General features: G+C 42.9%; 1 long non-coding RNA gene across 1 annotated transcript in view, besides 1 other annotated feature; it reads left to right on the plus strand.

The window, feature by feature from the left end:
- The window catches only part of LINC02456 (long intergenic non-protein coding RNA 2456), a 432422-nt gene that overhangs the window by 233183 nt on the left and 173463 nt on the right, over positions 1–25776 (plus strand). The window lies entirely within an intron of this gene.
- Positions 405–554: an enhancer, noted in NCBI's record as "active region_6885". NCBI's record gives its function as "activates an Ori minimal core promoter by ATAC-STARR-seq in GM12878 lymphoblastoid cells {active_cell/tissue: GM12878}" and the evidence as "EXISTENCE:reporter gene assay evidence [ECO:0000049][PMID:35858748]".

Genomic DNA, 25776 nt, shown 5'->3' on the forward strand with positions numbered 1-25776 from the left:
CCCCTTTCTCCTTCTAAACAGAAGGGGCAAGGCCAAGTTGCTTGCTCTTGATGTAACAGCACTTAACATAGCTCACCATCTGGGTGTTGGCTGCTGTGGGCAAAGGTAGTGGAATTGGCAATGGAAAAAGCTTTGATGGGAAGGTGTGGAGGTAGATCCAGAGAAGGACTGCCTGTTCAGCAGGGAGCATGGCCCCAAGCACAGAGACTGAGATAAGGACCAGGACCCTGATTCTGAGAGTGGGAGGAAAAGGGCAGAGGGAGAAGCAGAGGAGAATAAGACAGAGTCTACATAGGACCTGAGAAATCACATGAATGTTTAGAACCAGGAATAAGCCACAGCCTCAGAAGTTAGGCCTCAGTTTCAAGGTAGAAGGAGGTGCAATCTTTATTCTGTTCTTTAAATGTGAACAGGAGAACACATTTTTCCACATTGTACTGAGTCCAGCAGAGCCCAGGCACTGGGGCTGTTGCTCTTAATCCTCAGTGGAAGCTTCAGGCTTTGCCACTCAGTATATTCTCCGGGGATCTAGTTGCCCGATCAGGACTGAAGCTGTGCAAAGACATGTTCTTCTCTTTGCCCTATGTGTGGTGGTTCCAGAGCTCAGGCTGCACGATGGGGCACACACAGGTTAGGATGGGCAGGTCGGGGTTTGTCTTTTTAGCTTCACATCCTGTTTCTCTATGAAGTCCCCATGAGCTGGAGAGAGTGAGGCCGAGAGTGTGCTGTGGGTGAGGGTTTCCCCAGACACCTGGGAGGTTGAGGCCGTGACCCCAGTGTCCCTAAGCCTGCCAGCCTCACCTGACACCAGTGCCGGGTGAGCACTGGCATAAGTGGATGCGAATCTCAGGCATGCCTAGCTTTGCCCCATCACTTGACTGCAATACTGAAGCCCCCAGTTGCCTTAGAGGAATTAAATATGGAGCTGGAGAGCTGAGCAAATCAGGGTTCTTTTAACCTTTTTTAGAGTCTGGGGCCGTGCCAAACTATAATGTGTGCTGTGGTCTGAATATGTACATCCCCCACAAATTTCAAACGTTGAAATCTAACCCCCAAGGTCATCGTAAAAGGGGATGGGGCCTTTTATGGGGTGATTAGACATAAAGGTAGAGCCCCCATGAATGGCATTAGTGCCCTTATAAAATAGGCTCAAGGGAGCTTGTTTCTCCCTTCCACCATGTGGGGGCATAGCTAGAAGGCAGCATCCATGAATCAGAAAGCAAGATCTCATCAGATGCTAAATCTGCCAGGGTCTTGATGCTGGACTTCTCAGTCTCCAGAACTCTGAGAAGTATATTTCTGTTGTTTATAAGCCACCGTGTTTATAGTATTTTGTTATAGCAACCCAAATGGACTAAGGCAGTGTGTCAAGAGGCTTAGCAGTGTACTGGGGTGAGGACCAGGGTAGGGGCAGACAGGCTGATGTGAGGCAATTCAGGCATTCTGCATTCACAGCTTTTAAATATTTACCTTAATCCATTCACCCAATAGTTACTGAGCCTGTTTTCTCTACCAGGCATTGTGCTAATTTTAGAGAACAGAGCACTGAATAAGGTAAATAAGTTGTCTGCCATCATGGAGCTTCTATTCTAATGGAGAAGAGATAAGCAAGGGAACAAATAAGTAAGTAAGCTCATTCTGTATGGTGATAATGTTATGAAGCAAATACCCAGGGTGATGGACTGGAGAGTAATGGGAAGAGGCCCATTTTACATAGAGTTGTCCCAGGGCAGTTGATTGAAGGTCCAACAGGTGAGGTTAAACCAGCTTTGGGAGGATCTGGGGAAAAGCAGGCCAGGAAGAGAAAAAAGCAGCTACCAGGGCCTGAGGTGGGAAGGGGCTGGTATGTTCTGGGGCCAGTGAAATGAAACAAGGCCAGAGTGGGAGGAGAGATGCTAAGAAATAAGCCTAGAAAGAAGAACACAAGGGAGGATGAGCAGGGACTTGGGGGCCCCATCTGGGAGTTTGAGTTTTATTTGTAGCACAATGGAAGGACATTGGAGGGTTTTCAGTGGTAGACTGACATGATGGGAATCACCTTTTAAAAATTTCACTGTGGCTGCTTTCTGGGAATTACAGATGGGCAATGGAGCATCCAGATAAGAGATTTCAAAGCCCTTTGGCAAACTCAGTGCCAGTCCTTGACTTCTTGTGAGAACTCCTCGAAAAAGCACTTGGCAAAGGGTCACTGCTTTTTACAAGTGTCTAAAATTCATATTGAAATGAAATCATGGGCAGAATCTAATATGAACTTTTTGGGCACTCTTTTATGAAGATCATAAAGGAGATTAGAAACAAAACATACATTTGGAGCAGTACCCCAAAAGTTTATGCATCTTTTAATTAAATTAATTAAATGAATCATTCATTTATTCATTTTTCCTTTCTTTTATACAACAAATATTTATCATCCTTCTACTCTGTGCTAGGAACTGTGCTCTGTCCAGGGATTTCAATGAGGGAATAAACAGATAGTATCTTCTGCCCTGTTGGGGCTTGTGGTCTATTCTAGGCAGTTTTCATAGCCTTTAAGAACTCAGCAATGTTGCAAGACAAGTAAGTTCTACAGATCTTCTGTACATCATATTACCTATAGTTAATAATACAGTATTGTATACTTTACACTAACAGGATAGAGCTCATGTTAAATGTTTTTACAACAAACAAAGAAACCAACTCAGAAAATAACACAAGGTAATTTTTGGAGGTGATGGATATGTTCAGTACCTTGATTGTGGTGACAGGTACCGTGGTTGTACACATATGTCCACATTCATCAAAATGTACACAATAAATATGTGCAGTTATTTGTATATCAATTATACCTCAATGAAGCATAAAAAGGAAAATGAAAACAAAAAAGAACTGAGCCAAATGGAAGCACGAGGAAGAGTGGAGAGACATCACATGGGAGGAGCCTCAGGTTCTCGTAGGAGTGGGAGCTCGGTAAATATTGATTGAGAAACAATTGATGTTGAACAAGTTGTTAACATCTTTGGACCTGTTCCTCGCTTTCAACAGAAGAGAAACGCTGGGCAGAGGGCTGTAAACTCCGAGTAGCTGGCGTGTAAGTCTTCTTTCAGTGTTAAAAGTGGGATGCAGAAGTGGGATAGAAGGATAAGGGTGATACCAGTTCAGCAATCTTAGCATCACTAAACATAGGATGACCTATGTGCGGACCTCCTGAATGGCACAATATGATGGATGTAGCACTCCCTGTGAAGTTTTCTTTCCAGAAAATAAGACAATAGTTTGCTATTGGTAAAGCCGCTAGATCTATCTACCATTTACCGGAAATAATGAGGAAAGAGAAGCATGTTGAACACATCACAGGGCACAAGATGTAACCAGCGAACTCTAAGTGTGGACAGTTCTACAGGACAAATTATCTGGTTTTTTTTTTTTTTTTTTTTTTTTTTTTTTTTTTTTTTTTTTTAACACAGAAAAGTGCCAGGTTTTGGGTGAGTTAGATTAAAGGAAACTTCAGAGACGTTTCAACCAAAAGCAATGATAGATCCTGTTTGGGTCCTCATTCCACAACTAGATGTAAAGTGACATTTTTGAGACAACCAAAGAAAAATGAACCCAAACTGGGTAGGAGTTGACATTAAGGAGCTATTATTCATTTTCTTAATGGTAATAATGGTTCTATGGTTTGGCTAAAGGAAAAGAAGTTCTCAGGTGTTTCATACTACAACATAGGTGAACCTTGATGACATCATGCTAAGTGAAATAAGTCAGACACAAGGGGACAAATACTGTATTATTCTACTTATAGGAAGTACCTAGAGTAGTCAAATTCATAGAGACAAGAAGGTAGGATGGTGGTTGCCAGGGGCCGGAGTCAGGGAGAAATGGGGACTTAGTGTTTAATGAATTCAGAGTTTTAGCTTGGGAAGATGAAAAAAGCTCATGGTTGGTTGGTGATGGTTGTACAACAATGTGAATATACTTAATGCCTGTGAACTTACACTTAAAAATGCTTACAATGGTAAAATTTATGTTTATTCTACCATGATTAAAAAAAAGAGTTCTTAGGTGTTAGAGTGAAATGCTGGAGTAGTTCCAGGAGAATGAATGATCTGATGCCTGGGATTTGCTTTAAAATAATCTAGTAAAACAAAACAAACAAAAAGTCTGGAGGATAGAGGAGAAAAAAGACTAGGAAAATGTGTATGTTGTTGAGGCTGAGTGATGGACAATGAGGGCTAGTTATACTATTCCTTTACTGACGGTATGTTAAATACTTTATAATATGAAGTTTAAAATATCTCTATCATGGTTTGGTATGTTAAGTTTAATTTTCTGAAATGCTTGGAGCATTGATATACTCTTTTTAGAGGACTCAATTAAAAAAACAAAACCAAGTCCTGCAAAGCCCTAGTAACATGAGCTGTCATGGTATGAAATTGAGCGTAAAAGAGGGCCCAAGCTCCAGGAGGTGGTCATAGAGACTGCATTGTAGAGAGCAACTGCCTCATATGTTATATAGGCACCCTGTGCTGCTGCCCTTGTCATATTGCTGGGCAGAATAAACAAAACTGTAAAGATCAGTGGCCCTTCTTGCTGCCTCCACCTTGGAACCATTGGGGAGCTTTTAAAAATACTAATGCTCAGGCCCCACCTCAACACAATACCAATTGAGCTAGAATTTCTGAAGGAGGGCTCCAGAGAGCAGTCATTTCATAGAGCCCCTTAGGTGATTCTAATATGCAGCCAAGGCCAAGCGCTACTAATATATGAACTGCTTGGTGCCTAGGAGGTGCTCACAAAATGCTGATTGAAAATGAACCTGGAACAAGTTGCTTAGTATGCTGTGTTTCAGCCATTTGACAAAGCCTTTTATGGAAAAGGATTTATATGCAACCTTTTCTCCCTTCCACCCAGGGGATCCAACTACCAGAGGCCAGAAACTTATTTCTGGAGTCTTTGCTGGAGCAGGCATACTTATGCCCAAGAGAGTATTGTGGTGGCTGTTAGCAAGAGCCTGGAAAGATAAGAACAGTTTCAAAAATGTTTTTGGGGCATCACAAAAACCCCATTGTAACATAATGCTAGTTGGAATAACATTAAAGAAAAGTGAATTATGCCTGTTTATCAAAGGGAAAATGAAAGGCCCTTGGAAACGAGTTTTATTTTGAAGCTGAAGCCTTTAATCAAATTGACAATAAAAGATATGGTCCTTCTATGAACCGAGGAATGATAAGCAGCCATTTGCAATCTCAATACGTAGCTTCTGGTATTTAACTCTATTTTTCACCCCTGGTGTATTGAGAATGAACTGATTTTCATGATGGTTAGAGAGAAATGGAGTCCTTACCCTAATTCAGTCAACTGAGTGTAAAGTGAAAATAATTCTACATATCTTCCTTTCCTCACCTCTGTGCCTTGGAATTCAGAAAGAATATTCACAGGGCAATCACTTTAAACAGACTGACAAAAGCACGTGCTCGAAACTTTCACTGCAAAGAACTTTTCCATATAGTAATAGAATATATGACTTTAAACCTGAAGTGAAGCATGTGTATGTTTGTGTGTGTGTGTGTGTTGTGGTGGGGGAGTGTCTTTTTACTTCTCCAGAGCCAAACAGAGTGAGTAGCAGATAAATAGAATTGCCAGACTTAGCAAATAAAAATGCAGAATTCCCAGTTAAATTTGAATTTTGTATAAATTTGCAAATATTGCCTGGGACATACTTATACCAAAAAATATTCAGTTTTTATCTGAAATGCAAATTAAAGTGGGCATCCTATATTTTATCTGGAAACTGTACAGAGAAGAAAAGAGGGGTCCTTCCTCTCACATATGCAGAGTCCAAATATCTTACTCCAGGATGTCCAGGATGTCTTGGAGGTGCAGATCATCAATGAATGTCCAAAAATATAGGCCAGGAGGGTGATATTGGCAGTCAGTATCAAGAAGTCAGTGTATCAGTTAGCAGATGCTTCATAGCATCACCTCAAAACTCTATGGCTTAAGATAATAATAATTTATTACTGCTAACACTTTTGCAGATTGATTGCGGTTTGTTCATGTAGGCTTGACTGGAGTTTATAGCTATAGGTTTATAGCTATAGGTCTGTGACGAGGTTGGGGTAGTTCAACTTAGGGCAATGGCAGCTGGAGAGACTATGCTCCCTAAATCTCTCTTCTTCCTCCTGACAACAATGGGATCGTTGGTGCATTGTCTTCTCATAGAGATAACAAAGGCACAAGTGTACAAGTGGAAATACGCAAGGCCACTCAAGGCCAAATCTCAGAACAAGCATGCTGCCATTTCTGCCCACATGCCATTGGCCAGAGCAAGTCACATGACCAGACCCAAAGTCAAAGGGTAGGGAAGTACCTTCCACCCGCGAAGAGGCCATGGCAAGGGTGTGAATCAGAGCTAACAATTCAACCTACCACAGGCAGGCACAGGGAAATTGAGGTTTAGGGAAGGGAATCAAGTCATTGGCATCTTTTGGAAGCAAAGAGGACCTAGACATGCAGGGAGGGGGAAACGGGAGGTCAGTTACTGGGGAGCTGGGTTACAAGGTCAGAGGGGCTTCAATGCAAGACTTACTTGGTTCTTAATTTGACGCCAATATTTCCATGTGCCTGGAAAAGTTCTCGTGGACTGAGGTGAGACAGAACATACAGGTAGGGATTTAATGGTCTTGGCAATGAAAGCTACAGGACAGGAGTATGGTTAGCAGTTCTCCTAAACTTTACTCCTTAACTCACATTTCACCCCTTGCCATCTCACCCTCCATTAATTACTCCTTTGGCTGAAGAGACAAGACACCAAGGCCATGGTAAAAGACAACTCGTTTGCATTCATTAGTGTTGTAGTCAAGACTTTTTCCATTCAAAGAGGAGAAATCCGACAAACTAGTCCAAGCTAAAAAGGGAAATGTTAACCTATAACTAAAAAGGCTAGGGACATCAGCTTCAGGCAAGGCTGAATCCAGGTGCTCAAACGATGTCAATGGGGACTTCTGTTTCTCTGTTCCAAGGCTCTGTGTTCCTCTGTGCTGGCATCATTCTTAGGCAAGCTTCTGCTTCATGAGGCCACAATGGCTGCTGAAAACTCCAGATGTACACTCCATCAACTTGGCAACCTAGGAAGAAAGATCACACCCCACTCCCCCATGCCCCGCTTTTTTTTCAGTTCAGTGAAAATCCTGGTATTGAATTTTAGGCTTAATGTGGGTCAAATGTCTACTTTAGGCTCAATATGGATCAAATGACCAGGATACTGATTTGCCATACCTGAGTGTGTGAACCCAAATTGTGACATTTGATCGGTCCCACCTAACCCATCTGACTGAAAGCAGGGGAGGGGTGGGAAAATTAGGGAAGTGTAACCAAAGATGCTGGGCAGGCAAAAAAGCAACATGTATCTCTATGGCTCCTCATTTTCCTTAGAATAAAAGCTCCTTCAGTATCTGCTTTCCCCAACTGTCACTGTCCTATTACCTCCCTCTTGCCCCAATTTTATTCCTCTTCAGCTGTACTTGCCACCTTCCTCTTGCAGGCATTCAAGGAGCACCTATGTTAAAGAGCCTGTGCCACCTATTTGGGCACTTTCTTATTGATACCTCCCTAAACTATTTTAAACAGCAATCTGAGCCCTCATCCCTTCTAATCACTTTTACCCTGATTTACTCTTTTCCTCCTTTTTTTTTGTTTTTTTTAATAGTATTTCTCATATCATGTTTATTATTTACTCTGTCTCCACCTTCATTCCTATCCCCTTCTTTACTGCCTGTGAATGCCAGCTGCACAAGGGCAGAGGTTCTTTGTATCATTCATGAATATATCTCAAGTGCCAACCATCGAGTTGGCCACATAGTAGGTGCTCAGTAAATATGTATAGCATGAACCTGCTACAGTTTCTGAGAGATGCTAAACATCAGGTCAGTTTTAGAGAGAAGGGATTTGCTAGGGTTGCAATTCTACAACAATCCAGATACCCAACTCCCCTGTTATGTACCCATGAGAGAAACATTAAGTTTTCCTTCTGAACTTAGATAAGACCCACCAGGAAAGCACTATGAATCAACGAAGACTTCCTAAAATTATAAAGTTATGCTCTAGGATTGCATACAAGATGGAATTTGAGATATCAGTCCAGGTGTGGTGCAACTAGGGAGTACCAGATGTCTTGTTCAGTGGTGGTAGTGGTAGCTGATGAGTGGAGTATGACTAAGGAGGTAGAAGGCATCAAAGTGGAGGTGATGGACATTGAAAGAGAAACGGAAGTGTCTAAAACAAGATTAGGGCTGGGCATGGTGGCTCATGCCTGTCATCTCAACACTTTGAGAGGCTGAGGTGGATGGATTGCTTGAGCCCACGAGTTCAAGACCAGCCTGGGCAACATGGTGAAACCCTGTTTCTATTAAAACACAAAAAATTAGCTGGGCATGGTGTCACCTGCCTGTAGTCTCAGCTACCTGGGAGGCTGAGGTGGGAGGATCACCTGAGTTCTGGAGGTCAAGGCTGCAGTGAGCCATGATCATGCCACTGCGCTCCAGCCTGGGCGACAGAGTGAAAACCTGTCTCAAAAAAAAAAAAATAGAAATTAAAACAAGAATAGATCTTCATATTTTATACCTTATCTTGGAAGGAGAGGCCTTAGTTACCTGGTCCAAAATTGAAGAGTGCTTTATGTACTGATGGCAAGTATGTAATCATGAGGTATCTTAGTTTATTTTTATTGTGCACCAAAGGGTCGCAACTCTTCTTGCTAAACTAGGACACTTCTGAAAGTAGCATGAGCCAGTGATCATGGAATCCTCCAGGTGTGGGCATGGAACTCCCATTTCATTTACCTGAGCCACAGCTTTCCATCTTTCTGAGATGTGAATAGCATTCATTGGGCCCTCAAGAGATCCAATACCCACTGCCCAATTTCCACTGGTTTTATGAGGAATAGATCTTTGTTACTCCCTATTCTTAAGCTGCTGCTATTGAGAAATGCTATGGAGATATGGAAAGTGTGCTGAGATTAGTAGTGAGTGGGATTGTGCACCACTTCAAATACAACATGCATTTGGAAGAGCTCATGCATTTGGAAGGCCCTGTTTGAAAGGTTATTTCTTAGGGGCTTTCCGAGACAGCTGCCCTTTAACTTAAAGAACAACAAAACAAATTAAACAGTTTGTGGTGAAGGCAGAGCAGAGTGGACCCCAAATTAACATGAGGGCCCATCTTCACTTGGGGGACTCCAGAACACAGATCCCTGGGAATGTCTCTCTTTGCCAGTGACCTTATGTGTTTGTTTAACTGTCCAACTGAGGGTTCACCCTGACATTTAGGCAACAAGTCAGAGCCTGTGAAATTACAGTGACAACTCAAACATGAGAAAGAAACAGCTGCCCAATAGGGCCACAGGAAATACTGCTATTCAGGAAAACTGCTTTTCAGGTTTTTTTTTTTTTTTTTTTTTTGTCTTTATTTCTTTCTCTCCTCAAGAGATGGTGGTTACTGAGCTCTCCTCCCCTGATTGTACTCCAGATGACTGTGGGGGAGGTGGCGACAGGCAGTTCCTGCCCTCTGGGAAGGGGCAAAGAGGTGGGGAAGGCAAGAAAGACGCTGGAGAAAGGTACAGGATAATTTGTGTTGAGACTAGTGCCTTAAAAGGCGGTAGGAACAGATGGTTTAAAGGGAGGAACTGCTTCTTTGCACATCCAAAGAGAATTTCTGCAAAAATCTTCCAGAAACTTTTTGCAATTCTTATCCCCTTACAGCTGGACAGGGCAACTACAAAGTGACGACTAAGTGAGGGAGACTTCGCTTTTCAGTTGATCATTCTCTGCACTGTTTGGTTAACTTATCTTCCATATCTATTGTTTTTTAATTGAAGTGTTTTGAAAAGATCGATTTAATTACAACAAAATAAGTCACAGGGACTTCATTCACTCTACCTTTATTCTCTACGAGCCAGGAAAAAGGGCTTTATTTACCAGCTGTGTGGACTTGGGCTAATTACTTAACCGTCCTGTGGCCTATTACCTCATCTAAAACATAGGGTTAATAATAGTGCTTGCATTGAGGGTGGCCGGAGGACTCAGTGGGATAAGATACAAGGCTAGGTGCTGGTTATGACAAGCACTCAGTAATCCTAGCTATCACTAGTCTGGTTCAAATGCTGTCCTAACACAGAACTCAGCAGCATAGGCTAGTTTGTCCTAAAGACAGGCCCTAGCGGTCATGGCAAGTGACAGCAGCAGCTGCCTCGTGGACTCTTGTCTCTGTTCCCATGGCTGGGGCTCTGATGGACAAGGTTGCATGGTGCATAGATGGCTCCTAAGTGTTCAGGTCATCAGAGGCGGGAAGGAACAGCTGTTTGGGATTGGAACCATGGGAACAGGCAGAAGGCAAGGTTGATGGGGTCACAGACACACCTGTCATTATCTTAGTAAAATAAATTGTCTGCCTAACATCGTGTCCTGATAGATCTGAGAAGAATAGAAAATGTGGAGCGGCCCAACTGGTAAGCAAGAAAAGAAGTATGTATTCTTTAATTTGGTTAAAATGTCATCTTCCCTGCCTTCTCCTTACTTTTCCACTGAATATATGTGGGGCTGGAAGGGTCTTAGCCATATCTAGAATCATAAAATCATTGAATATAAGGACGGAAAGGAACTATATAGATCAAGTTGATCCAGCCCCAAATGTCAATAGTGCCAAGGTTGAAAATCCAGGTCTAAGCTAATGACATCTTCCTCCTTACTAATGGTTACTTTAAAATTCCAGGCTTAAGCCAATTAGCACAAGGTATCTCCAGTAACAAAGAACATGATTTATACTAACTTATACAACTAGGACATTTATTTATCTCATATAGTAAGAAGTTCAGCAGTAAGGCAGACTTCAGGTCTGGATGATCCAGTAGCTCAACAATGCCATAAAGTTTAGTTTTTCTCTATTTCTCTACTCGACCATTCTTGGTGTGTGAGCTGCGTTCTTAGGCTGTTTTCTAAGCTGTCTGTCAGTAGCAGGTGGGGGTGGTGTGCTTTCTTGTTTCTAACCCATGTTGGGGTCGGAAAGAGACAGAGAGGAGAGAGAGAGAGAGAGAGAAGGGGGAGAGGGAGAGGGAGAGGGGGAAGGAGGGGGAGGGAGGGAGAGAGGGAAGGAGGGAGGGAGAGAGGGAAGGAGGGAGGGAGGGAGGGGGAGAGTGAGAGTGAGAGTGAGAGTGAGAGAGAGAGAGAGAGAGAGAGAGAGAGCACACCTGTTTTCCAGCCATGTGATGAGAAGTCCATCATTTCAATCAGATTAAGGCAATTTAGGAAATGTGTTCACTTCTAGACCAGTAATAGTGGTCAGGTGAATACCTTGATTGTCTTAAATAGTGGTCAGGTGAATACTTTGATGGTCTTAAATAGTGGTCAGGTGAATATCTTGATTGGCTTAAGCCTGGAATTTTAAGTCAACCATTAGGGGGAAGATATCAGCTCAAACCTGGATTTTCAACCTTGGCATTATTCACATTTGGGGCTGGATAAATACCTGTTGTGGGGGATGTCCTGTGCCTTGCAAAATGTTCATCACCATTCCTCATCTCTGCCCACACAGTACCAAGAGTAAGAGGCTATGTGGATAGAGGAACAGCTGGGAGGAGGACAGGGACCAGATGGGGCAAGATCTTGTAGACCGTGTTAGGGATTTCTGTTTTTATCTTAAAATTACTTAAACAGATTTTAAATAAAGGATAATTCTAGTTGAAGTCTGGAGAAAAAATAGGAGCAGACTAGTAGGGGAAACAGGGCCCGGATATTGCAGTAGAGCAGGTGATAACTGAGTCAGTTTCAGCTATGGTGGTGAAAGTAGAAATGGAGAGAAATGGATGTATTTGAGTGCTGCTTGGAAGCTAAACTAGTTAGAACCCAGTGCTGGAGTCAATATGAGAGATGAGGAAAGGAAGATATTAAAAATGAAGCATGGGTTTCTGGTTTGTTAACTTTAAGAACACTGGAGAACGATCAGATTGTAAAAGGAAGATCACATTCTGAATATATTGAGTTTGAGGCCTGTCCGAGATATTCAAGTAGAACTGTCAAATGGGCAGATGGAGATAAAAGCGTGGTCTTCATGAGAGAATATTGGACTGGAGATGGTAATGAGCATGCTGAAAACTCACCTTGAGGGACTCTGACACTTAGAGGTTGCAGGTTGGATAAACAGCCATGAATCTTGGAAGGAGAGGCCAGAGGAGTAGAATTAAAAGGGGTGGGAGGGAGTTCCAGGAGAGGGTTGTATTCCTTAAGCCATGGGAAGGGAGCATTTTGAGAGGGAAGGCTTGATCAGCAGTGTTATATGTTGTGGAGAGGAGATGGAGGGTAAGGACCAAAAGATTGTCCTTTGGATTTAGTGACATGGAGGCCATTGGTGACTCCAGCAAGAACCATTTGAGTGTTGAGGTCACAAGCCAGGTTGGAGAAGCTGGATGAATGCATGGGGAAAGACAAGGGACATAGAGTTGATTTCTCTTGGGAAGGTCTGGCTGTGGAGGAAAGAAAAGGGAGGAGGATAGCTGGGGGAGAAGTGAGGATCAGGGAGAGTTTTTCTTTAGGAAGAGACACATGGCTATGTTTAAATGGTTTGTGAGGGTGGAAGAAGAGTTTGGAAAATACAGGAAAGAAGTGGAAATGAATAGTGTAAAGTTACTGAAAAGGCAGGAGGGAATGGAATCCAGGACAAAGGGCACTTCTGCTATTGTAGCCAGAGAGGAGAGAAGAAGCATGCATGTATGTGGATTTGAAGGGTTTGTGGCTGGAAGTTGCTAGCGTTCCTGCTTGCATTCTTCTATGGCTCCCGTCAGTATGTAGCTCAATGTCTACACAAAAGTTGTGGGGAAGCTTCTCTAGTCAAATTATATTTGGGATATGCTATGTTAAGTTTAAGCAGTTATCTTCACTGCAGGACTTTCCAAACCCTTTAATACATAAACTTTCATTGTGAGAGTCTAAGAGGAGGGTAGAGGAAACAGCATTTCCTACTGGACCGCAGAGCTCTCTAAGTGCACAGCCTCTCATGGAACCAGTTTCATGCCACTCTGGGAAACAATGAGCAGAATCAACACCTTCGTTTTATGGCAGAAGAACTTGAAACCCTGAGATGGAAAGGATAGAAAGTTGCTTGGGTGAATTAACAGCCGTGGAGAACACTTCCGTAGGGAGCACAGGGGCTCCCCTAGGCCTTCGCTTGGGTGAGCACAGCCCTCTTACTCTTGTTTGTACTGGTGACCCCAGCCCTCTGCCTTAGCTAGAACCATATAGTTCTACTTTGAAATATGAAATTAGATGGAAAGGCAGCCATTACGTCTTTGTGTGTTACCTGAAAGGATCTATGGCAAGACATAAATCTACTGGCTCTGGCTGGGCGTGGTATCTCACGCCTGTAATCCCAGCACTTTGGGAGGCTGAGGCGGGTGGATCACCAGGTCAGGAGATCGAGACCATCCTGGCGAACACGGTGAAACCCCGTCTCTACTAAAAAAAAAAAAAAAAAAAAAATTAGCCAGGTGTGGTGGCGGGCACCTGTAGTCTGAGCTACTCGGGAGGCTGAGGCAGGAGAATGGCGTGAACCCAGGGGGCAGAGCTGGCAGTGAGCCGAGATTGCGCCACTGCACTCCAGCCTGGGAGACAGCGAGACTCCGTCTCAAAAAGACAAAAACAAAAACAAAAACAAAACACCTTTGCAGCTGGCAGCAGATTGTGTCTGGGATTAAATTTAGCGTCCCTGGTTTCAGGAGAGGCAGACTCCACCTTCCAGCTGTGCAGTCAGCACCTGACTGAAGCTGTTGAAGGTGTCAGCCCCCCTTCTCCCTTTAAAATGTTCAACTCGATGGTTCGTCTGTGACATCATCTAGAAATTGATGCGATGGATAATGTTTGCCTGTTGCTGAGTTTGGGTTTCCCATGAATGTCCATGGGAAAGTTCAGCTTGCTCACTTCTTCCTGCCTGGAATATCTTACCCTTCTTTTTCTCCCTGTGGGGGGGCTACTTTTGTGAAGCTCAAACTTGAGTAAGCTGGAGATCACCTGTTAAACTGTTACTTTTCTGGGCCCCACGCTGGATTCTGACTCAGTCACTCTGGGATGGGACCCAGGAGTCTGCATGTTTAACAAGCACCCCAGATGATTTTGATGTAGGCAATTCAAGGCACCACTCTTTGAAAGCACTGCACACTCTTATCCAGATCTTTTGGAAGAATTCCAGAATTGTGAAATATATGGAGTGGGATTTTTAAGAAAAATTTTGATGTTGAAAGTCAAAGTTATGTAGGGGCTATTTATTTATTTATTTATTTTTAACTTGTGCCTCAGTTTTCTGGTGTGTTTAATTGGGCCAACAGCGGAGATGCCTCTCTCTTGAGGTTGCTGCATGGTTCAAATGAGCTAAATGCAAATGAAGACAGTCTGTAAGCAGGAAGGCCCATGGCAATCACTATTTTGTGTTAAAATACAAGTCTCAGTGCTGGAAAGGATCTTAGTGGCTATGTAACCTAACACTTAAATTTTCAGCAAGAAAGGGCTGGAGCAGAAACCACGTCTTACTTTCCACTGTATTCCCTGATCCAGCTCAGTGCTTCCTCCATAGCAGCAAGCTTAATTTTTGTTGATAAGGACCCAATATTTTTAAGCTTTTGAATGCAAATGAGTCATCACCCAAGATGCCGATTGGCTGACACGAGTCCTATTTGGTCGGATACTAAATAATGAAGAGGAAAAAACTGGTTATTAATGCAAAGAGGCTAGGAAAAGGCAGTGAATAGCGGCCCAAAAATAGCCTCAATAATTATAAGTCTTACAAAGCCTGTTGCGACGTACTTTATGAGTCAAAAATGAAGTGTGTGTGACGTGAAATGAATCATTCTGTGAATAAGAGAAGTAATCTTGCTTATTTAAATGTGTTTTGTCAGCAGTGATGCTCTCTCCTGAATAATGAGTGCCCTTAAACAAAAATGATGGATAGCTTTGTTGGTCTAAGATGAAATGGATACAATTCTGCCGGTAAAAAAAAAATCATGGTAATTTAGTATTAAATGGACTCTGGCCTCACCTTAATAAAAAAATTATAACACACTTAAGTAAGTTTTCATGTATCAACCCTTTGCACTTTGGGAATACATGGCTAGCATCTTTCTTTCACTTTAGAATTGATGGGTAGGAATAAGACCATGTTTCTCCATTTGTCTCTCTCCAGAGCAATCTGTCAGTATTGTTATATGCTATTCTCACAAGTTGCTTATCTTATATAGCAAAATGGTCATATTTTCATACTTGTATTATTTGTAATTATTTCCAGTGTTTTTATTGGGATAGGGGAGATGGCATGCGTTTCCTTGATGTATTGGTACCTCGTTTCCAGAACAAAATTGAGACAGATATATTAAGATTACTGTCTCTGCTGATTTGTTGTGATACATTGAAGGTTTTGGACTTCAATAAATAAATTCCTTCTTCTATTTAAGAGTTTGAAACAATTGAGAGACTCACATGGGGGAAGGCCAAATGAGAGGTCCAAATTTCTCCTTGATGACTGAGTAACTGTTGAGAATGTGGTTTCTCAACCATGGCTAAGAGGATTTGTTAAGATTTCCCTCAAGAATTAGATAGTTGTGACTGTTAGTTTTGCACCACCACCCCCCCATCCCATATCTCCTTTTTCCTTAGTAATAGAGTTCCCAGGCTTTGGTGGGGCACATGTTCCCTCAGGAAAAAACAAAAACAAAAACAAAACATATTTCCCACTCTCCTTTGCAGCTAGATGGCCATATGACCAAATTCCGGCCAATAGGATTTAAGTGGTGTGTGTAACTATTTGGAAGTGCCCTGAAAGGGAAGTCCATCTTCATCTCCTTCCTTCTTCCTGCTAACTGGAAGGTGGATGTGATGGCTGGAACTCAGGAAGCTATTTTGGAGTTCTACCCACATGCTGACAATGATGGAACAAGACAAAAGGCTCGGGGTTTTCTGATGGCCATGAAGTATCATAGTAATCCAGAATGGCTTTACCTCTGTATATCACTTACATTAAAAAAGTATAATTTTCTATCTGACTTAAACCCTAGTTATTTAGGGTATTCTGTCATTTGCAGGTAAACTTAGTCTTAATACAGGCAGTTAAATGTCTCTCCCACAGGGAGATCCAGATCTAGATCCAGATCCTGGAGATCCACATCCTGGCAGAGAGAAGGTAAAAATGTTTTTTGTCAGCAGTGATGGACAGATCACAAAAGAAAACTACTCAAAAGTGGCTGAGCCCTCAACATTATGTTCTTTCCTCCAAACACCAGTCAGGTTAGTCATTGTTTACCCCAAGGAGAAAATGACTGGAGGTACCAAGAGAGGCCAGGAATATTAACTAATGGAGGAACCTCCATATGGAAACATGAGACTTGGAAAAAAGAGGTTCTCCTGAACCTGGGAAATATGAATGCATCAAAGATTGCAAAGGTTGAAAAATAGGACTGACAAAGCACATTCCACTGACAGTAAAGTAGACCTTTGCCATTATGACCAGGGATTCGTGTTGCTAGGCAGTGGGATAGGCAGGACTCATTTATGTAGGTTTTTAAATGCCAGATGGAAGAGCTGTGAGCTTATATTTTGACAAAGAAGGAGGAGTCAGTTATTGTTATGTGACCCTTGACTAGGTACCATGCAAGGAATGTGTCATGGACTTCGGCCCCATAAGGATAATGGGGGATGGCTGAAGCATTTCCCCAACAATCCACAGACAAAGTTTGAACACCTCAGCATGCTGGGGCTCTGATTTGACTACCACCCATCCACCTGTCAGACTCATCTCTTGGCATTCTCCTCCTTGATTTGAGGTTCTAGCAATACCAAGGTGCTTTCAGCTTGCACATTCCCTGCCACCTCATACTTCTGGATCTTTTCCACATGTTATTCTCTGCCTGGAACAGCCTCGCTACTTTCTTTGCTTGACTCTTTCTCAACCTTTAAGATTCAGCTAAAATTTCTTCTCTTCCAAGAAAACTTCAGTCAGTTTAGGCCAGGTTGTGTTGCAGCAACTAACAGTTCCAGATTTAGTGGATTAAAACAACACTTGTTTTTCATGTGTGTTTCATGTTAATTTCAAGCCAGCAAAAGTAGTCTGATCATCACAGGAGTTCAGTCCTTCAGAATGACAGAGGCTTCATCTCAAACCATGCTCCATGGTGGCAGAGGCAAGGAAAAAGGAACATGAGACGCCATGCACTGACTTCCAAAGCTTCTTCCCAGAGGTAACACATGGCACTCTGGTCACATTTTGCTAGACAAAGAGTCACCGAGCTAAGTCTGCTCCTAGAGGGAGGTAAGTGTGATCATCCCCAGGGAGGAGAAGCAGCTAACACAGTCTACTGCAGCCCCCTGAACGTCACCTTTCTATCTTTGGCTCCTGCAAAGCGTATGTTCTGTACTCCCTTAATGTCCTGAGCACACTCCTGTTCTAACTCCTCCTCCTCTCCATCACTGCTTGCTATATGCCAGGCACTGCACTAAGCCTTTTTCATCCTTTCATTCAATCCTTACAGTAACTCTGTGGAGTTATTATAATATTGTTATTAACACATTTAATTCTCACAACATTCTTCAGAGGAGAGACTGTGATTATGCCCATTTTATAGTTGATGAAACTGAGTCACAGAGAGGTTAAGTGACTTGCCTAAGATCACAAGGCTAGTAAGTAGCACAGCCAAGATTTACCCCAGGCAGTCTGTCTCCAGACAGGCCACCAAACTAGCCACCCACTGTTCTAAGTGTTTTACGTATATAGTAACTCATTTGACTCCTGCAACAAGAATACGTACTCTTCTTGCCATTTGACACATGAGAAGCTGAGGCACAGAGAGGTTAAGTAATCTGTCCAAGCTCGCTCAGAGGGAAGTGGGCTTTAATCCCAGGGAGTCAGGTTCCAGGGCCAGAGCTTTCAGTTACTGTGCCATTTTGTCACAGTGTTTGTTCATCTTTAATCTACCTGATATGGACCTCTCTACATGCAACCAGATGGGTTTGTGTATGGATATAACAAGAACAACACACATTCAGATGAGAATAGCCACTCTATTCCATGGAATGAGCTCTTTATATTCAGTGAGTAGTTAGTGTGTATATCTGTGGTTGATATGTAGCTCTCAAATACAGTATAGTTCCAAGGTTGTGTTGAATCCCTCCTTGCTAGGAATTTGGGATGTTTTAGTTTCATATGGCCACAAAAATGGTCTCTGTTCTGGTTCTGATAACGTGCTATTCTGTGTTCCATGATGGCCCACATCCCACATTGACCTATGTAGGTTCATTCATTCACTCACTCATTTGGTCAATAAAAATTTATCAAACCCTACTAAGTACCAGGCACTAATGGAGTTACTGAAGATATAGAACTTCATCTCTCTCTCTCTCTGTCATCTGTCTGTCTCTCTGTCTGTCTGTCTATCTATCTATCTATCTATCTATCTATCTATCTATCTATCTATCTATCTACATATAGAACAAAACAGAGAAATGCCTGCCCTTGTAGCATTTACACTCTAATGAGGAGAATCAGATAATACACAAGTGAGTGATAAGTGCTAGGAAAAAAAATTAGGAGGGAAGGGAAATAGGAGGTGCTGAGGGGAGAGGGGAGTTGCTTATTTAGACTGGGAAACTAGGGAAGTCCTTGCTGAAATAGAGTCCAGGAAGAGGTGAGGGCATAAGCCATGTACATGCCTGTGAAGAGTCTTCTAGATCCAAAAGAACAGCAAGTGCAAAGACCCTGAAATGGGAACATGAGTAACAGGTTTGAGGAGCAGTACAGAGGCTGGTGAGGCTGGAGCAGAGCAAGTGAAGCACAGAATACTGGGCAGAGGGGATGCTGGGGCTGTTGGAGGTACAAAGATAATCTAGGACTTTGTGGGCCTCTGTGTGGCCTTTGGATCTTATTTTGAGTGAGAAAGGGTGCCCCTGGGGGACACTGAGCCGCAGAGTCACTATCCACACACTACATCCAAGCTGCCATGTGGAGAACAGGAAAGCCAAATTCCCACCAAGAAGGATGGTTTAAGAAATTATAGCACAGTCAACCATGGATGAAGCCATTACAAAGATTGACACAGAGCTTGCCAGTTGATTTGGAGGGAATTCAATGAGCAAATGTGGAGTGAGAAAGCCAAAATACAGAAAAGTATGGATGGCATCCCATTTTTATAAGGGTTTGCACAGCTTTTAATTGTATACATTAAAGATATGTTATATATAAAAAAGAACATTTTAATATAAATGTGGTATTAATCCCATGGTACAAGCATTACTCTTTACTTTTATATGGGGAAACTGAGGGTCAGTGAGTTCAGTGGCTGCTCAGTCTACACATCCACACAGCAGCTGCACAGGAGGAGCTGAGTTCCCAGACATCCCAGCCTTCATTTCTTTAAGTTCCCCACATTATTTATTCCTGCACCTATTTTCTTCCTCCTAAAGGGGGAGTAACTTTTCTTAGCAAAAATGGAAAAGAGCAGTCACTTATAGGATTTTCTTCCATCAGGAGATAAATTTCCTAAAACTTCTGAACTCTGGAAAGCACTTTAGTTCTTAACTCAGACCCACAGGGGCTGTGGCCTTCATGAAAGGGAGTGTTTACAAGAATATTATTAGTAAGATGACCTCCCCACAACACCATGGCAGATAAAAGTAGGGTGAGCTGGAAATTCTTCACACTGGAAAAGACAAGTTGTCCATTTAGAAGGAAAATTAAAAAAAAAGAAAGCCCTGTTATGAAACAAACAAACAAACAACAGAAAATAACAAGTGTTGGCAAGGATGTGGAAGAATTAGAACCTTTGTGCACTGCTGGTGGGATGTAAAAAGATGCAACCACTGTGGAAAACACTATGGCACTTCCTCAAAAAATTTAGCATACAATTACCATATGATCCCGTAATTCCATTTCTTGGCATATACCCCAAAAGAATTGGCAGCCAGTGTCCTGAAGACACATTTGTACATCCATGTTCACAGCAGTATTGTTCACAATAGCCAAAAGGCAGAAACAACCCTAGTGTCCATTGATGGATGAATTAATAGACAAAATGTGATATATATATATATAATCACATTTTTATATACATAATGTATATCTATACATATATATGATATTATATATGATCTATCTATATATCACATTTTGTTAATTTATCTGTCAATGGACACTCAGGTGTGTGTATACATATATACACACACAAGGGAATATTATCCAGCCTTAAAAAGGAAGGAAATTCTAATACATGTTACACCATGGATGAACCTTGAAGACATTAAACTGAGTAATGTAAGCCAGACACACAAAAGGATGAATATTGTATGATCCACTTGTATGTGTTACCTATAGTAGTCAAATTCATAGAGACAGGAAGTAGAATGGTGGTTGTCAGGGGCTGGGGTGAGGGAGCCAATGGGAGTTAGTGTTTAATGGATATGGAGTTTCAGTTTGGGAAGATGAAAAAGTTCTGGAGATGGATGGTGGTGATGGCTGTACAACAATGTGAATGTACTTAATGCCAATGAACTGTATACTTAAAAAAGGTTAAAACAGTAAATTTTATATCATGAATATATTACCACAGTTTAAAAGAAGGAAAAAAAAAAGAAAGAAAGACACTCCCTGTGTGATTAAAAAATCTAGCATTCACAGTGGCCGGGTTCCCATGAAGATTTTACCAAGGAGAACTCACCGGAGCTTATGGCTGCCCACCCCTTCTTGGAATCCTTTGGAAAATAGGACCCATGCTTTGTGCTCCATGTTTCATGGCGTCAGTTAGCTCTCAGTGACCCTGGAGGTGGTGCGGCCAGCCAGCCAACTCTCCAGGATGTGTTCTTTTTCCCGTGCATGATCTCAGAACCTGATTAAGTGCGTCCAGATTGAGGCGCCTAGGGGAGGAGGGATGATGGTGACCATCAATCACAGAGACAGGCAATGGAGACAGCCTCGGTGGGCTGCCTCACCTTCAGAGAGAACCTGGAGGAGTTGCAGAAAATGCTAGAAGCGTGCTCTGGCAGGGAAAAGGGGTGTGGAACTCTGATGAGAGCAGAGGCAATAATGCTATTGGAATTTCTGAAGGTTATTCAAGACTCCATATCAGTGCCGGTTATATTTAATCTTCTTTTTAACTTTCTGTCTTCCTTCCTTCAGGCTGTCTTAGAGAAACATTTCTCCCCAAGGAGGACAAAAATTCATTTCACTTGGTTGGAAGCAGCAGGATGTCACAAAAGCACCCTAGTGTGGCTGTCTGCCAGCAAGATTTGAGACAGCAGTCTCCAGTTAGGAGAAAGATCTATCAGTGCCCCTCCTTGTTTCCCATTTCAAGTGTTTTGTTAGATACAAGGACACTGTGTGTTTCATCCCCCTTGCTCCTTAACCAGCCCCTTACACCATGTACCTAGAAAGGAGAGGATGTTCTGCGTTAGTTGTGTGTGAGCCCTGGCAGACACCTGTCAGTGCAGACTGTGCTTTCCAAACCGGGGATCACCTGGCCAGGCATACATGCCTCCATGGAAAACCTGGCCCTGGTCAGGGTAGTCGATGGAGAAGTTTGTGCTGAAAATCTGGGATGTTTCAGCTGATGGGAGGAGGAAGGAGTAGTAGCAAATTCAGGATTTAGCTCTCTGACCCCTGGGGAATGGGTGGCTGGAAAGAAGCTACTGATTAACTTGTGAGGACAGACTTACCTGTAGATGGGAAAGAAATGCTTCTCAGGGTAGTCAGGCCCTTACAGCTCCAGTTCTTCTTTTCCTTGACTGTGAACTCTCTCCCCAGCCTAACCTTCACCTGGACTATAAGTATAAAATGTAGGGCTTCTTTTTTTCCTTCTGACTTTCCTCCCCAGTATTCTTGACCTGCAAACATGAAGCTAAGGTCTGAGGCTGCTCTTCCTCAAGCTCCCCCCGTTGTCTCTGTCAAGTCACTATTATCTCTGTCTCCTAAAAAAATATATAGAGAGAGATCAAATCCTTAGCTGTGAATCAGACTGCCTGGGTTCAAATCCCACATCCTAGGCCTGAGGGTGGGACAACTCTCTAGGGGATGGGGTGGGGGGTCCTTGAATGTACCTGGGAGGCCCCTTGCCCTGCTGGATAGAGGTGGGCTCACCCCACGCTCCATTGTCTGGGAACCGATTGAAGTCCAACTGCCGTTGCTTTCGTTGCTTTCCCTGGTTGGCTTAGTTAATTCATCCCACATGTTTCCTCTGCTGACTGGTGAAAGAAAACTCCAGTGTCAGGTTGTGCCTGAGATCAAGTCAGAGCGGCTTCCCCCTGACATCTCTGTGATCCTGGGCAGATGTGCTCCCAGGGCAGGGCAGCATGACCACCAGCCATGGAAAGTCTGTGTGTGTCAGGGTGAAGCGCGGCGTCGGGTGAGGGGCCCGGCAAGGGCAGGCAGAGGAGCAAGCACCCCTTGGAGGGCACTCCAGGCACTAAGCCTTCCAGCGTTTGAGGCTGGAGAGCCCCGTCATCAGCCACCTGTGGAGGCGCAGGCCTTCCCTCCAGGTGCTGCCTCGCCACTACAAAAGCGGGCTGTGTGATGAGACTTGTTAAGCGCAGCTTTGCGTGCTCTCTGTTCTGTTCACACTGTCTTGCAAAGTAGGTAATATCCTCACTTTCGCTTCCCCAGTGAGGAAACTGGGATTCAGAGAAGTCAAAGTCACCAGCAAGGAAGTGGCCGAGTCTGAACTTGAACTCCCTGGTGGTGCCGCCAGTGCACTTTCCTCCTCCTGAGATGTGGGTTGATTCTGCAGCACCCACAGGTAGGATGCGGGAGGTGAGGGCAGCGTGATGAAGGGAGGGCGCCTTGAACTGGTTCTAATGCCTGCTTTTAGGTAATCCCTTTCTCATCTGGAAAACAAAGGGCTTGGGGGCCCCTTTAAAAAGTCTCTGCTACTCTGATCCCTTTTATTTATTTATTTTCCTTGATTACTTTCTCTCCAGTGTAAAGCCATTTCTGTTTTGTGTTTCCTTAGCAGATTTCAATTCTCCAAGGGCATTTGGCTCCCTCCCAGCACTAGGCCTAGGCAGGGCTGCCCTTTATGACAAGGTGAACAAATGTAATAGAGCTGAAGGACCCAGGATGACAGTGTAGGATCTTTTCCCAGGCTCTTGCCTTTGCCTGGCATATCAGTACTTAACTGACGATGCACCAAGCACCAAACTTCCATGTAACCTTCAAAGCCCAGTGCCGTTCTTACCATCACTAAGAAGCTTTCCTTACCATAACCCTGTGTGCTAGCCACACCTAAGTAAAATTCATATGGCTGCTACTGTAATTCATACCTGCTTTCGTAGCTGGGATGTTTCTGGCTTAGTCCTTGTTTACACGTCGGTCTTTTCTACAGGCATGTGGGTTTCCTGAATGCAGGAGACTATGTCTTTATCACTTTTGGTTTAATAGTGCCTATTACCTGTTATACAACAGAAACTCTACCAAGATTTGTGGGTGTAAGGAAGGAAGGAAGGAAAGAACAAAGAAAGCAATCCAATCTATTTGGCTCTTTTCTGTAGTTACAAATTTATAGGAAATCTGCAAAGTGTATGAGTCAGTCCACAGAGCTTCTCCACTGTGTGATTGGGTTTTGCTTGGGTCATCAATCTGCCATTTCCTGACTCTTCCATCACACACACACACACACACACACACACACACACACACACACACACACAGAGCCACAGCATCATCTTTGAGCAATGCAATAAATTTTATGAGGCTTTATTTCCCTTCTCTTTAAAACCTAGAGAAATAGAACAAAGTTCCCTTTTTCTTTCACAAAACTCATGGGTAACATATCAATTATTCAAGTCCATTTATATGTCTATAACCACCTCTTCTCTCTTTGTTTCCTCTGGAAATCTTTACTTTTCATGCACACACACACACACACACACACACACACACAGAGATATGTATGTGTATAACATCACGCAGTAATACATTTTTCAAAGCTACTTTTTTTCAACTTTTGGATTCGGAGAGGACATGTGCAGGTTGGTTACATGGGTATATTGTGTGAGGCTGAGGTTTGGGGTACAGAGGATCCCATCACCCAGATAGTAAGCATAGTACCCAACAGGTAGCTTTTGAATCCATGCTCTTCTCCCCCTCTAGTAACCTCAGCGTCCATTGTTCTCATCTTTACGTCCATGTATACTCAATGTTTAGCTCCCATTTATAAGTGAGAATGCCTGGTATTTGGTTTTCTGTTCTTCTGTTAATTCACTTAGGATAATTCACTCCAGCTGCAATCCATGTTGCTGCAATGGATATGATTTTGTGCTTTTTAATGGTTGCATAGTATTCCATGGTGTATATGTACCACATTTTCTTTATCCAATCCACCATTGATGAGCACCTACATTGATCCCATGTTTTTGCTTTTGTGAATAGTGCTGTGATTAACATACAAGTGCATGTGTCTTTTTGGTAGAATGATTTATTTTCCTTTGTGTATATACCCAGTAATAGAATTGCTGGGTCGAATGCACTTTTGAAACCTATTCTCTGTTATTTGTTTTTCTAAAAATAGAAGCTGTGTCAAAATTACAAAAGAAATAAAATTCATAGAGTTAGAAAGTGTTAGCTGTAGGCATAAGTGGTCCTTCCTATAGGTCAGGTCTACACACTTAGACTCCTCAAATGTTTATAGCAATTCTCATGTTGGCATTTGAATCCGTCTCCCCAGAACTAAGTAAAGAACATTTCTTAGTCCAAAATCACACAGATTCAACAGTTATTTGACAAATATATATTGAACATCTATTATGTTCTGGGCATTGCTTTTAAGTTCTACTGCTGTGATAAGACAGACATGATCACTGGCTGCATGAAATTTTCATTATGTAGAGGGAGAAAAGAGCAAGAAAAATAAGCAAAGAAACAAATATATACAATAATTAGAAAAGGTAGTCTGGGTGCAGTGGCTCACACCTATAATTCCAGCACTTTAGAAAGCTGAGGTGGAAGGATCGCCTGAGCCCAAGAGTTCAAGACCAGCCTGGGCAACATAGTGAGACTCCATCTTAAATTTTTTTTTTAAAGCTGGGCATAGTGGCGTGCTCCTGTAGTTCCAGCTACTCAGGAGGCTGAGGTGGGAGGATCGCTTGAGTTTGGGAGTTTGGGAGGTCGAAACTGCAGTGAGCTGTGGTTGAACAGACCACAGCCTGGACAACAGAGTCCATGGAGACCCTGTCTCAAAAAAAAAAAAAATGTGGTCCTGTTAAGGAAATAACTTGGGAGGCAAGACAGAAAATCACTGATGTGGGTGATCTATCTCAGTTAAAGTAGACACAGAAGGCTGCTCTGATTTGAGACAAGAGGATGAAAAACAAAAAGAAGAGGGTTTAACATGGTAGGAACAGCAGGTGCCTAGGGTCTGGGGTATAAAAGGGTTTGATGTGTTTTACAACCTGGCGGAATGCCAGTAAGGCTGTAACCAAATGAGTAAACCTGAGGAGGTATAAAGTGAGGTGGGAGAAGGATAGAGGGGCCAGATCACGACCTTGTGGGCCTTGTGGGCCAGGTCACAGTGTTCAGGAAACGACTGAATTTCATTCAAACTTCAGTGAAAAGCCACTGAGGATTCTAAGCCAAGGGGTGACATGGCCCACTTTATATGTTAAGAAAGTCTGTTACAAGTGGCCCATAGAGGGGTGATCATTGAAGGAGAAGACTGTCTAAGGGTGGCATTTGTCTAGGTGAGAGGTGGTGGCCTGGACTAGAATAGTGGCTTGCAGAGAAGAAGAGAATCAGATG

Source organism: Homo sapiens, chromosome 12, assembly GCF_000001405.40.
Source record: "Homo sapiens chromosome 12, GRCh38.p14 Primary Assembly".
In the NCBI taxonomy this organism is placed as follows: Eukaryota; Metazoa; Chordata; class Mammalia; order Primates; family Hominidae; genus Homo; species Homo sapiens.